Raw genomic sequence first — 14,111 nt, 5'->3', positions numbered from 1 at the left:
GCAAGAGGCACAGAAAAAGATAGGGGACAAGAGAGTCAGAGGTATCTTAGCAGTAGACGCTTCAGCCTTAGTCGTGGCTACCTCCTTCTCCACTTAAAAAGTTGAGCCTTCTTTCTCCAGCCCTCACCCTGCAGGAAAAAACGGTACAGCTAATACACATAGCTGAGGGGGACAACCCAAAGCAAGCTGTGAAAAGTCTTCGCATCTGACGTCGTCGTGGTGCAAGCTTTTCTTTGGACTGTGATGGGGCGTTGCTAAAAGGAAAGCGATTAGAACACAACCCGAAAAATGCGCTGACCTTCGACGGTAAAGCAGTCGAAATACAGGAAAGCGTCACGTGCGGTTAATTTGGAAATCAAGGCAAAAGCGCCGTTTGGAAATGTTCAGGCTCTTTGACCTCAGAGGCCCCAGCTCTAGGTCCTGTGAGAAGTAGCTAACAGGGGTAAAAAGCGAGACTTCAAAAGCCAGTGCGACCGAGCCGATTGGTCCTGGCGACCGCGGAGGGGACACGCAGAGGGCGGGCAGGAGACATCCAAAAGCAGCAGGGGAGGCAAAGAGGCTCAGACAAGGAATCTGGAGTTCAATGACGGGAGACGCACAGGGCAGAGCGAAAGGTAGGGTGGCGGGAGCAGGGTCCCGGACACTCACCGGTCATGCTGCCAGTCTGGGTGCTGACTGACCGCCCGGCCCTCGCGCTCTCCAGATTTTGCATCTGCCCAGCTTCTTTCATCCCAAACCTAGCGTCCTCTGCTGCCAAGGAAACCTCTCCCAGTCAGACATGATCTCGGCCCTAGCGCCCCCGCCTCTCGCCTCCTCTCAGCAACTGTAAGGCAACGGCCCACTAGGCGCAGCCAGATGACGCCTCAAGCTTGACCGCCACTTCAGGGCTCCTCGTGTGACGTCATAGAGAGGCGGGGCTTTGGCGCCAGAGGGCTGCCCCTCGGCCGGTGACCGAGTTAAGCACCGAGCTGTAAATCGCTTGAGACCTGTATTTGGTTGTTTTGTTGGTTTTGCCAAGTAAGGTCACTTGAGGATTTCTTGGCTCGAGGTCCCAGGTTGCGCAGACTCTGACTGCATCGAGTTGAGAATTTTGGTCAGAATGTTAAAGTGGAAACCTACCCCAGGCTGTCATGGTCAGTGTTTTAGAGAACTTCTTGGGTTGGGGTGTGGAGCTGGGCGGTCCAGGATGTTCTGTCATCAGAGACTGGCGGGTTCTGGGGAACTTGGTGCCATGGAACACAGTAGGGACGTTCTGCTTCTCATCAAGAACATGAAGACATTAAGAGGTGGAATTGTAATGGGGAAAAAGGTGAGAGGAGGCAGTAGGAGTTATTTTGTTTTTAATTTCTAATGTCTAGTTTATTTCCACAAAACATCTGTATCATACCAGTTCTTTGAAATTTGTTCAGACTTGTTTTATGACCTAGATCAGCACTGTCCAGTAGGATTTCCTGTAGTATTCTATATCTGCACTGTCCAATATGGTAGCCACCAGCCACATGTGGCTATTGAGCATCTGAAATGTGGCCAGTACAACCAAGGAACTGCATTTTTAACTTCATTTAGTTTTAATTAATTTACATTTTAAGTAGTGACATGTGGCTATTGGCTACTACTGTATTGGACAACATTACTCTAGACTCTCCTCCTGGAATTCCTATTAGGCATAGGTTAAACCTTCTGAGGTTCTAAATTATTATTTTTAAAATATTGCATCATTTTGTTTCTCTGAGCCACATTCTGGCTAATTTCTTCAGATCTATCTTTCAGCTTGCTATTTATTTCTTTGGCTTGTAGAATTTTTTCTAGTTCGCCTGTTCTGAGGGTAAAGCTCTTCAGGTGATTTGACTATATCCAGAGAACTCCATTCTGCACCTTTCCTGAAGTGTAGACTTTGTTGACAGTGCCTTCATGGCAATTAACACTAAGGTTTAAAGACAGGCCATGGACTAGGAGAAAATATTTGCAAAGCATGTATCCAACAAAGGACTCATATCCAGAATATATAAAGAACCATATAAACTCAGAGTAAGTAAACAGTCCAGTTAGAAAATGGATCAAAGACTTGAATAGTCATTTCACCAAAGAAGATATACAGATGGCAAATAAACATGTAAAACAGTGTTCAGTGTCATTGGCCATTAGGGAAATGTATATTAAAACCACAATGAGATTCTACTACACACCTATTTAAATGGCTAAAATAACAAGTACTGACAGCACTAAATGCTAGTGAGGATGCAGAGCAACCGGATCTCTCAAACATTGCTGGTAGGACTATAAAATGGCATAACCACTCTAGAAAACAGTTTGACAGTTTCTTATAAAGTTGCACATATGCTTATCATATCACCCAGCAATCACACTCCTGGGTATTTATCCTAGACAAACCAAAACTTATGTTCAAACAAAACTCTGTACATGAATGTCATGGTGGCTTTATTTTTAATAGTCAAAAACTGAAAACAGGCCAGGCATGGTGGCTCACACCTGTAATCCCAGCACTTTGGGAGGCCAAGGCGGGCGGATCATGAGGTCAGGAGTTTGAGATCAGCCTGGGCAACATGGCGAAACCCCGTCTCTACTAAAAATACAAAAAATTAGCCAGGCGTGGTGGCATGTACCTGTAGTCCCACCTACTCAGGAGGCTTAGGCAGGAGAATCACTTGAACCCGGGAGGCAGAGGTTGCAGTGAGCCAAGATTGCACCACTGCACTCCAGCCTGGGCGACAGAGTGAGACTCCATCTCAAAAACAAAAAAACAAAAAAACTGTAAACAAGCCAAACAGTCCTTAGTGAATGAATAGAAAGCAAACTGGAGTATATCCATGCCATGGGACACTACTCAGCCATAAAAAGTAATGAGCTATTGATACGTACAACTTGAATGAATCTCAAGGGCATTGTGGTGAGTTTTTAAAAGCCAGTCTTAAAGTGTTGTATACTGTATGATTCCATCTAGATACCATTCTCATAGCCAAAGAAAAATTATAGCATTGAAGAACAAATCCATGATTGCCAAATGTTATGGTTGGGACAAGGGTCTGACTGTTAAGAGGTAACACGACAGAGTTTCTTTGTGTTGACAGTTACTCATATCTATACATGTGATAAAATTCATAGAGCTATACACCAAAAATGCAAAGTGGTACATTCAAAACTAGTAAAACACAAATAAGATCTATACCTGTATTAACAGTATTTTACCAGTATCAGTTTCCTGCTTTTACCAAAGTGCTGTGAATAGGTAAGACATTATTATTGCAGAAGCTGGGTGAAGGGTAACACAGGAACTCTGTATTATTTTTGCAACTTTCTTTAAGTCTTAAACTCTCAAAATAACTATATGTATATATATATACATACACACCTATATATGTTATATGTGTGTTTGTGTGTGTATCTTTAATCCCCAGCAGTCTAGATCTGCCCTGCCCTTCAAACAATCATTAGCTTTATTGCTCATTAACCTCTCTTTGGACTCCTGGTCTCATTCCATTTTCAGTCCTTTAGTATTTCAGAGCAGTTTAAATACTTGGACTATTTCTCTTACTTTCTTGCTAGCTCAGCCATATTTTATCCTGCATTTTTAGGTATTTGTAGCTGAAATATTTTTCAGACTAGGCTAACTTTTCCACAGTATTGGTGGAATAATTGTTCTGCTGCAGAGGAATAAGAGGACTAAAAAGGATTATAAAATGAAATTTTCCCTAAGTGCTGAGAAGTGGACAAGCTCAGAGCAGCTGAGTTCTACAAAGGCCAGTTTAATCAATAAAATGGTTTTTAAATCAATAAACAATTCTATATATCAAGTGGAAGGACCATGGGCTTTGATATGAGAGAGACAAGCTGTATTCACACTCTAAGAACAGAAGTTATTTACCAGTTACTGTATCAGTTGGCTTAGACCCGGCTTGCTGTGGGTAACAAATGTGAACCCCCAAAATCTAAGACGGGTCTCAGTTAATTTAGAAAGTTTATTTTGCCAAAGTTAAGGATATGCGCCTGTGACAGCCTCAGGAGGTCTTGACGACATGTGCCCAAGGTGGTCAGAGCACAGCTTGGTTTTGTACATTTTAGGGAGATATGAAACATCCATCAACATATGTAAGATGAACATTGGTTTGGTCTGGAAAGGTGGGACATCTCGAAGTTGGGAGGGGGCTTCCAGGTCTTAGGTAGATAAGAAACAAATGCTAGCATTCTTTTGAGCTTCTGATTACCCTTTCTAAAGGAGGCAATCAGATATACATTTATCTCAGTGAGCAGAGGGATGACTTGAATAGAAGGGAGTCAGGTTTGTCCTAAGCAGTTCCCAGCTTGACTTTTCCCTTTAGCTTAGTGATTTTGGGGCCCCAAGATTCATTTTCCTTTCACACAAATGACCATGAAATCTCAGTGGCTTGCCCCCACAAAGGTTAATTTTTACTCATGTTACATGCTGCTGCTCCTGTGAATTGGCTCTGGGATCCAGGCTAAAGGAGCAGCCTCTGTCCTTTCTTTCTTTTTTCCACCCTCAGTTCCCCTGTATGTGACTCACCTTCCTAGCATGCTAGTTGCTTCTTTGGCTTTCCAGCCCCTTCCTCTTCCTCTGCTGTAATAGCCTCTTCTCCCTTGAAGGGGAGGGGAGGGGAGGTTATCAAATGCCTTTTTGACTGACTTACTCAGGGAAGAAGGAAGGGAGGAAGGAATAGCCCAGGGAAAGAAGGAAGGAAAGGATGATGGTAAAACATTTATCACAAATTTTCATGAAGGGCTACATGATCCCAAGTAGTATGGTGCTTGGCAAAGCACAGGTGCTCAATACTGTTGATTGTCCCTCCCTTTTTCATCTTTCATTTACCTATTCTCTAAGTAGCCTGAATTTTCTTTTATTCTAGGTCCTGTGGATTGGGAATGTTAGTCTTAGCAGTGTGTTTATTAGGACAGAATCCTCTCAACAAAGCAAGCTGATGGTCTGTGGAGTTGATCATAGTCACTGAATCTGTAGCTGGATCTGCTGATGCTGGTGGTGCTTATGGAATACCTGGCTTGTGGAAGAAAATGTACCTTACACTCAATTTTGCTCTTGTGAGAAGGCACTCCATGACCAGTGCCAGAGACACTGGGTTTTAGCAGATAAAGCATTTACCTATAGGGTCACCAAAGGAGGAGATGGGAGGGAATCTTAAATCCATCTGTCTGAGGAGTTTGGGGCTACAGTCTTTAGGGTTTTGGAGTGGGCCCAAGTGTGGAGAGTGTTCACTGGTCGAAGAGCACAGGGTGAAGTCATGGGACAGGGAGATGAAGAAGCTGTGTTCTTATGCTCATCCCGTTCTTCTGTGAGGGTCTCCAAACTGGTCGCTGAAATTTGGATCTGAGAACATCTTAAGCAATCCTTAAACAAAAGCCTTATGATTCCGTCAGAGATCATCTCTATAGGAACAACAGGGATGCAAATCCATTTTTAAACAGTCTTATTGAAGTAGGATATTTCCCTGACCGCTTTGCAGGACTCGCAATAGGGGTGCCCCATTTACTCAGCCCACAGCTCTCAACTCCTTGCGGGAGGGAGCGCATGAGCAAATAAGGCAGGAACTGGAGTACACAACCACTGGAATCAGCTGGCCACTTCGTCACCAGCAGGAGTGAACTCCACTCATTCGGACTCACTGCTCTCCACCCCTTATGGGAGGGAGCACACAGGTGAGCAGGTGCAGGAGCCAGGTGAGCACTTTTGAGCACCAGCAGGAGCAAACTCCATGCATGCCCCCAAGGCAGTATCTGGTGGGGTTCCTGCAACCCCTGAAGCCCCAGAGGGAGTGTTACAGTGGTCTTTTAGCTCTGCCATTTGCAGACAGCTTAAGTGTTAGCAGCTCTGCAGAGCCTCCCTCTGCCTTTTCATGTGAGGGAGCTGTCTTCCACCAGTGAGGGCAAAGGGCCAGTGTGACAGCCTTTTGCATCTGCACTTGTGGCTCCTAGGCTCTTGTTTGGCATCCAGGAGAAATGAGTTTGGACGAAGGAATTGAAAGATGGTAAAAACAGGATTTTATCGCTGATAAAAGTGGCCCTCAGCAGGAAGGGGAGCTGAAAAGGGGATGGGGTGGGAAGGTAATCTTCCCCTGAAGTCCGGCTGTCTCTGGCCAGATTCTTCTCTGAAGTTATGCTGTCAAGCTGTCTCTCTGAAGTCAAGCCACTTCTCTCAGACGTTGAGCCATAGTCTCTGATGTCCAGCTGCTTCTCCTTTTTGCCGGCTGAGTCTGGGGTTTTTATAAGCACAGGATAGGGGGCAGGGCGGGCCATGGGTGGTTTTGGAAAAGGCAACATTTGAGCGGGAGAACAGGGATGTAAGTTCTCACTTTGGGCTGCAGTCTCAGGCTTTTTGGCTTGAGGATGGGACTTTGCCAGGGACCTGCCCCTGTCTGCCTAGAATTTCTCTGCCTCCTGTCTCCATCATTATAATCTTAATGTCAGAAATCCTATCTTTAGGAACAATGGGGATGCAAATGGTCAGGATCTAGTGACTTTTGGCAACAAGGAAGTGTGCTGAATTGTGGCCTGATTAGTTCTTTTTTTTTTTTTTTTTAAGACAGAGTCTCATTCTGTTGCCCAGGTAGGCTGGAGTGTAGTGGCACAATACTGGCTCAATGCAACCTCTGCCTCCTAGGTTCAAGTGATTCTCATGCCTCTGCCTCCTGAATAGCAAGGATTACAGACACATGCCACCAAGCCTGGCTAATTTTTGTATTTTTAGTAGAGACCAGGTTTTACCGTGTTGGCCAGGCTGGTCTCGAACTCCTGAACTCAAGCGATCCACCCACCTTGGCCTCCCAAAGTGCTGGGATTAGACGTGTGAGCTACCGTGCCTGTCTGATTAGTTCTTTTTTTTTTTGTAGATACGGAGTCTTGCTCTGTCGCCCCAGGCTGGAGTGCAGTGGCACGATCTCGGCTCACTGCAACCTCTGCCTCCCAGGTTCAAGCATTTCTCCTGCCTCAGCCTCCCGAGTAGCTGGGACTACAGGCACATGCTGCCATGCCCAGCTAATTTCTTTTGTATTTTAGCAGAGATGGGGTTTCACCGTGTTGCCTAGGCTGGTCTCGAACTCCTGAGCTCAGGCACTCTGCCGGCCTTGGCCTCCCAAAGTGCTAGGATTACAGGCGTGAGCCACCGCGCCCGGCTGATTCATTCTTAATTATAACTATATTTCTGTCCAGAACCCAGCATGCCATTCTTGTCAACCCTGTGGGGATGGTTTCAATTTGGTCATTTCGGGCAAAAAATGTGATTATCCCCACCACCCTGAGTCTGGAGATTAAGGTTTGCTAAGCAATTCTTAGAAGGCCATTCCTGGCAGCACTTAAACCCTGAGGAAGCAAAAAGAAACCTGAAACAAAATCCAGATGCCCTTCAGGAATATGTGCTTTGTTATGGAGGGCAGTGCTGCCAAAGAGAAATGACTTCTCAGATTTTCCATATATTGTCCCAAATAATCTTCTCAGAAAAATAAACTTGGTGCCACGTAGATTAATGTGCTGCAGAGTAAGAATGTTCAGGCAGCCCTGGAAATGGTGCTCCCCTGAGGTGGGAAGGACTGGCAAGCCCACTTTCCCTTGTTCTCCCAAACTCTCTACCAAAAGCCTGCCTGAGAGGGGGTGGGCAGAGGGGCCTGGGCAGCACAGTCAATGTCCAAGCTCATTTTGGGTCCCTGTTTGTGTGGCACCTCTGGACTGTCAGGTAGGGCCACCTGGGTTCAGGTATTTCTGAATCAGCATTCCTATAGAAGTTATCTAATTAGACACATTAGAAATCAACAGAAGGAGGGCTGGGTGCAGTGGCTTGTGCCCATAGTCCCATCCCTTTGGGAGGCCAAAGCCAGAGAATCACTTGAGGCCAGGAGTTCAAGACCAGCCTGGGCAACATAGCGAGACTCCATCTCTACAAAACACTTTTTAAAATTAGCCAGTTGTGGTAATGTGCACCTGTAGCCACAGCCACTCCAGAGGCTAAGGTGAGAGGATCGCTTGAGCCCAAGAGTTTGAGGCTGCAGTGAGCTATGATTGCACCACTGTATGCCAGCCTGGGCAACAGAGTGAGACAGCATCTCTAAACAAAAATAAAAAAGAAATCAACAGAAGACACTAGAGGGAGGGGTAGGGATGAGAGGATGGATAGGAGAGGGAGTAGGGAGGAAACTAACACTGATGGAATATCTGCTATGATCAGACACCCTATGTAACGATAATGATAATAGTAATAATAGTATCTTACATTATTGAGCCTTTACAGTGTTCCAGGCTCTGTTCTAGGTACTTTATGTTTATTATCTCATTTGCTCCTTCCAGCAACCTTGTGATGTGGGCAATATTATTTAGCTCCACTTATAGGAACCAAGACATTCGGTAACTTGCCCCAATAGACATAGCTTGAAAGGGGTGGGGGCAGGATATAAATGGACATTATGACTTCATTTACTACCCACAACAACCCTATGAAATAGATTTTTATCATCTCCATTACGCAGGTGAGGAAACTAAGGCCCTCAGACCAGCAACATCGCCATCATGTGGGAGCTTGTGAGAAAAGCAGAATCTTGGGCTGCACTTCAGACTTTCTGAGTCAGAATCTGTACATCCACCACTGGGCTAGGCCAGTGGGCTCCAGCGATTCTCCAACTGGAGTATGCATAAGAGTCCCTCAGAGACTATGTTAAAACCCAGATTTCTGGGTCCCAGCCTTAGAGATTCTGAATCAGTGGTTTTTAGCTAAAGTATTTTGGCCCTCTGTAGAATTGCTTTTACCAAAAGCAACTGATACCAAGTACTTTTTGGTATCGTATCATCTGCTGATGTTAACTGATGATACCAAGTACTTTTTGGTATCATATCATCTGCTGATGTTAACTGATGCTACAAGCAAAATTTTCATACCAGATTCGAGCAAGTGTCAAAGTTTTATTTGGCCCGGAGTTTACAAACTTTTTTGGAAAGGCCCAGATAGCAAATATTTTAGGTTTTTCAGACCATTTAGTCTGTGTCACAACTATTCCATTCTGCTACAAAAGCAGCCATAGATGATATGAAAACGACTGAGTGTGGCCGTTTTCCAATAAAACTCAATTAACTCCCCCTCATTTAACTCCTAAAATGAGTGAACCGTTGGTGGCAGCAATGAGACCTAGTTCAGAGTGTATTTGAGGAACAGGATTTAAATACTTGAAGAGAAAAGGATTCTCTAAAATAGCTAAGTTAGGTACAATATGCCTGGTTAACTTTCTTTAGGGCAATAAAACCATATACTTTTGGGTTAACTTTTTAAAAAAGATTTTATTTTTTTAGAGCAGTTTTAGGTTCACAGCAAAATGGGGTGGAAAATAGAGATTTCCCATATGGCCCCTGCCACACACATGCACAGCCTCCCCAACTATTAACATCCCCCACCAGAGTGGTGCATTTGTTACAGTTGATGAACCTACACTGACATGTCATCATCACCCAAAGTCCACAGTTTACATTGGAATTCACTCTTGGTGTTGTACATTCTCTGGGTTTGGGCAAATGTGTAGGGACATGTGTCCACCATTGTAGTATATCATACAGAGTAGTTTCACTGCCTTAAAAATCCTCCGTGCTTTGCTTTATTCATCCCTGCACCCTAACTCCTGGCAACACTAGTCTTCTTTTTTACTGTCTCCATAGTTTTGCCTTTTCTAGAATGTCATATAGTTGGAATCATTGTATGTAGTTGTGGAGGCTAACGCAACTCCATCTTGGATGCCAATCCGCCCTGTTGACTTCTTGATTAACCTCAATTTAGGGAAGGCTGCTATCTTCCATTTTATCTACTGTTCCTTGTGTAAGAGCTTGTACTTACTGTAAATCCTGCCCTTAGGTCAAAACTCCCTTGACCATAAATTCTGCTCTAGGCAGATTCACATAGCATCTTGCCTTTCCCTATAATTGTCCTACACATTCCTTCCCTATGACATGGAAGCCCTGGGTCTGTGGGGGTCATAGTGTGGGAATCCAACACCTTGTCTGGCAGCTGCCCAGGACATTGTGGCTTCTCTTCCTAAGTCCCTATTAAATGTTTTTGTTTGTTTGTTTGTTTGTTTTTTCCTGAGAAACCAAATGTGTCAGCCTCTTTCTTGGCCTCTTAGCTTCCGCAGACTTTAGGGGTAGATTTCCATAGACCTGCCCATTGCAGAACAGTAGTCTTTTCAGACTGGCTTCTCTCTTAGCAATATGCATTATTTAAGTTTCCTCCATATCTTTTCGGGCTTGATAGCTCATTTATTTTTAGTGCCAAATAATATTCCATTGCTTGGTTGTAGCATAGTTATTTATCTATTCACTTACCGAACAACATCTTGGTTGCTTCCAAGTTTGGACAATGATAAAATTAAAAAAAAAAAAAAAAGAAGCTTCTGCAAACACCCATGTGCAGGTTTTTCTGTGGACATATTTTCAACTCCTTTGGGTAAATACCAAGGAGTATGTTTGTTAGATCATATGGTAAGAGTATGTTTAGTTTTGTAAGAAACTGCCAAACTATCTTCCAAAGTAACTGTACCTTTTTTTCCTTTCTAACAGAAATGAATGTATAAACCAAAAATAAAATTCTAAGCCCCCCAACCATCTGATTGGACCCCTCCTCTCGACCAAGGGCATTCCAAAGTTAACCTGAAAAACTAGTTCAGGTCAACTTTCAGGCCATGATGGGAAGGAGGAGCTGGACCTGCCTCATTATGCCCTCCTCCATTTTGGAATTACTGATAGAATAGAGTCTTTAAGTCTGATAAGAAACCTTTACAATCTATTCTCTCTGAAGCCTGCTACCTGGAGGCTTCGCCTGCATGATAAAACTTTGGTCTCTACAACTGCCTATCTTAACCCAGACATTCCTTTCTATTGATTCCAGGTCTTTAGATAATAACTCTTTCAAACAATTGCCAGTCAGAAAACCTGTGAATCCAACTATGACCTGGAAGTCCCCACTTCCGGTTTTCCTGCCTTTCCAGACCTAACCAGTATACATCTTACATGTATTAATTGATGTCTTATATCTCCCTAAATTGTATAAAACCAACTTGTACCCTGACCACCTTGGACACATGTTCTCAGGATCTCCTGAGGGCTGTGTCACGGGTCATTGGTCTCTCATATTTAGCTCAAAGTAAATCTCTTCAAAGATTTTTTTAGAATTTGACTCTTTTCATTGACAAATGAGAGCTCTGGTTGCTCCACTTCCTCACCTGCATTTGTTATTGTCAGTGTTCTGGAATTTGGCCATTGTAATAGGTATATAGTGGTATCTTGTTTGGGGTTAATTTACTTATTTAAAAAGGCTATAAAATCCTAACACTTTTTCAGTTTCAGCAAGGTAATCTCTTTTTAGAGGGCTATGCTTCTATGAATTGTGTGCTATTAATTTAAAAAATGTGACAACAAACTTGCATTCCCCCCGAATATCAAATGAGAGTTCCCTTTAACAATGTCCTGCTTTTATTCAAGCAGTCATGTTATTTTCTAATACTAGAAAATGTGACTGGGCACAATGGCTCACGCCTGTAATCCCACCACTTTGGGAAGCCAAGGCAGGTGGATCACGAAGTCAGGAGTTTGAGACCAGCCTGGCTAACATGGCAAAACCCTATCTCTACTAAATACTAAAATTAGCCGGTGTGGTGGTATCATACACTTGTAATCACAGCTACTTGGGAGACTGAGGCAGGAGAATTGCTTGAACCTAGGAAGTGGAGGTTGCAGTGAGCCGAGATTGTGTCACTGCACTCTAGCCTGGGTGACAGAGCAAGACTCTATCTCAAAAAAAAAAAAAAATGCATAGCAAAAAAATTTAAGTAGTCACTATTTAATCATTTTCCAAATGTGGGACAATTTTTCTCATTGGCTTTATAAGAAAAAGCTCTAGGACATTCATTACTATGCTTGCCTTAAAGATTGTTGTTGAGGACATAGTTTTCTAGCTTTTAAGATGTCATCTTGGAATACTTGAAGGATCGATTCTCCTGTCTCCCATGAATCACGTAAACTTCTTAACCATACACCAGGATATGAATTTTATGTCCTCATTTTCCTCCTGGTATAATCTTATTTTGCCTATCCTAATTTTTTGTTAGTTTCTACTTTCCCCATTTACTTCATGTGTGTTTTATTTTAGATGCTTTTATAAATTGCTTTATATGCTTTTTGGAGCACAAATTTATTTTAATAAAAAGAATGTTCAGATTTGAGGACTCTTTAGTTCAAAGTGCCTTGAGGAAGAAGAGGGAGTTAGTATTTGCATACTTATGCAATAATGCACATATGTCTTATCAACAGCTAAAATGTAATTTATTCACATTTACATAGTCACTCATATGACAAAAGCTGAATGTTGTTAGTTTACATGTGCATCATATACATTTCACCTGAGTGACCTAAATAATCTGGACAGTTGAAACTGCCTTTGCAAAGATTATGACAGTCAGAAAAATCTAGCATGGCTGACCCCGTCTTGCTTCTAGGTTCACAGGCTGGCTGTCCTCACTCATTCCTGGTCATAGGCCAAGCTAACCATGGGAAGAATTTAGTTTATAGTTTAACTTGAAAGCAGTAGTCTCTCCCTAAAATGACCCTCTCCTTGTCCAGGAACTAAAACTGCCTTTGTAAGTCTAATGAAAGGCCACGAGGTTAGGATTATGGGACGGCCTGAATTCTGCTAAATATGGGCATAGTTTTCATACTCTCTTACTGCCCAGGAGTCATTGCTCCTATAGATAACATCACTATTGTAGAATCTAAGATTGATCTTTTGATGTATTTTTCAGACTTTTGCATTCTGGTAACCAACTGATCCTACCCGGACCCATGATGCATAACTCAGCTGGTCCTGTGGCGCACACCCAGAGGCCGACTCAATGCATGAAGACTGTTTTCCACACCCCTATGATTTCATCCCCAACCAAGCAGCAGCATCCATTCCCTAGCCCCCTGCCCACCAAATTATCCATAAAAACTCTGGCTTCTGAGTTCTCAGCAAAACTGATTTTAGTAATAACTCCAGTTCTTCCACTTGGCTGGCCTTAGTTAATTAAACTTATTCTTTACTATAGTACCGTGTTCCCAGTGAATTGGTTTTGTCTGTGTAGCAGGCAGGACAACCCATCAGGCAATCACACAGTTACTCTGCAGTGCTTCTTTTTATTTTGCTTTTCAAACAAATTTCAAATATTATTAGATTGAAATAAACTATACAAATAGCTTTTCCTCACAAAAATGCAATATTTTGTGTATTATTCCTAGGTAAACTACAAAACTTTTATTTTTGGAAGTTTTTTTTTGCAAAAATAAATCAAGATGCTTATGCATATAAATCAAGATGAGGCAATGAAAAAAAACCAAAGAATAACCAAAGAGAGACAAATCAGTTGTCAGTGTCTGTGAACTCATGTTCTGTCTTGCTTGTAAAACAGAGGGTTCATGTGTGGTCCGCTAAAAAGCTGATGGCCCAGTTAGGGTAGAGATACAACAAAGGGGTGCAAGCCCCAGCAACACATGTGGGGCAACAGTGAGGCATCCCTCCATTCAAACTGTAACTGTAACTCCTTCCTTTCTTCCTTCCTCCCTCCCTCCCCCTTCCCCCTCCATCCCTCCACACTTCCCCCTTCCCTTTCGCCTCCCCTCCCCTCCCCTCCACTCCCCTCCCCTCCTTCCTTTCTCTTTCTTTATTTTTTTTTTAAGAGATGGGGTCCCACTATATTGACCAGGCTGGTCTGTAACTCCGGGCCTCAAGGGATCTTCCCAACTCCACCTCTCAAAGTGCTGGATTACAGCCTGAGCCACTGGACCTGGCTACTGTCCATTCTTTGATGAAGACAAAGTTTACCCTGAAATCCTGTTCAGGTGAGCACACAGTTTCTATCACTTTCTGGTAACTTCCTAAACTATTCCTTATGGAATAGTTTTAATAGTGCACTTAAAACACAATGTATTTGAGTTGGAAGCTTCGTTCTTTTGTATAAATTTTTTTCTCCCTCCCTCACTTCCTCAACATTTATTTCTTCCAAAAGCTGATAACTCAAATCCTGGTCATTAGATTGGTAGATTATAAATGTAATTCCCAAAATGACTTT

At 43.1% G+C, this 14,111-nt stretch overlaps 1 protein-coding gene and 1 long non-coding RNA gene across 6 annotated transcripts in view, besides 2 other annotated features; one reads left to right on the top strand and one right to left on the bottom strand.

Annotated features, from left to right (window-relative positions):
• CDADC1 (cytidine and dCMP deaminase domain containing 1) overlaps positions 1–843 on the bottom strand; it is a 45,561-nt gene extending 44,718 nt beyond the window's left edge. For 3 of the 5 annotated variants that reach the window (NR_036439.2, NM_030911.4, NM_001193478.2), the window contains exon 1: positions 649–843. Coding sequence is in view for 3 of the 5 variants with exons in the window: in NM_030911.4 (NP_112173.1) it covers positions 649–730 (82 nt within the window). In the remaining 2 variants the exon portion in view is untranslated. Of the gene's footprint in view, positions 1–81; positions 208–298; positions 372–648 lie in introns of those variants that run through there. The other 2 variants (XM_011535251.2, XM_011535250.3) reach the window with 2 other exon arrangements.
• Positions 420–982: an enhancer, noted in NCBI's record as "H3K27ac hESC enhancer chr13:49821922-49822484 (GRCh37/hg19 assembly coordinates)". NCBI's record gives its function as "activates a minimal SCP1, AML or CMV promoter by ChIP-STARR-seq in primed H9 embryonic stem cells {active_cell/tissue: H9 hESC(primed)}" and the evidence as "EXISTENCE:reporter gene assay evidence [ECO:0000049][PMID:30033119]".
• Positions 721–950: an enhancer, noted in NCBI's record as "active region_7745". NCBI's record gives its function as "activates an Ori minimal core promoter by ATAC-STARR-seq in GM12878 lymphoblastoid cells {active_cell/tissue: GM12878}" and the evidence as "EXISTENCE:reporter gene assay evidence [ECO:0000049][PMID:35858748]".
• LOC105370203 (uncharacterized) lies at positions 928–13,255 on the top strand. Its single transcript, NR_135318.1, has 2 exons — positions 928–1,133; positions 12,807–13,255. It is a non-coding gene; the product is annotated as an uncharacterized LOC105370203 (long non-coding RNA).
• Positions 13,256–14,111: the final 856 nt, after the last annotated feature.

This window comes from Homo sapiens, chromosome 13 (assembly GCF_000001405.40).
Source record: "Homo sapiens chromosome 13, GRCh38.p14 Primary Assembly".
NCBI classification, from domain to species: Eukaryota; Metazoa; Chordata; class Mammalia; order Primates; family Hominidae; genus Homo; species Homo sapiens.
Note: the sequence above shows the minus strand (reverse complement) of the source record. Positions and strands in the feature narration are given on the sequence as shown.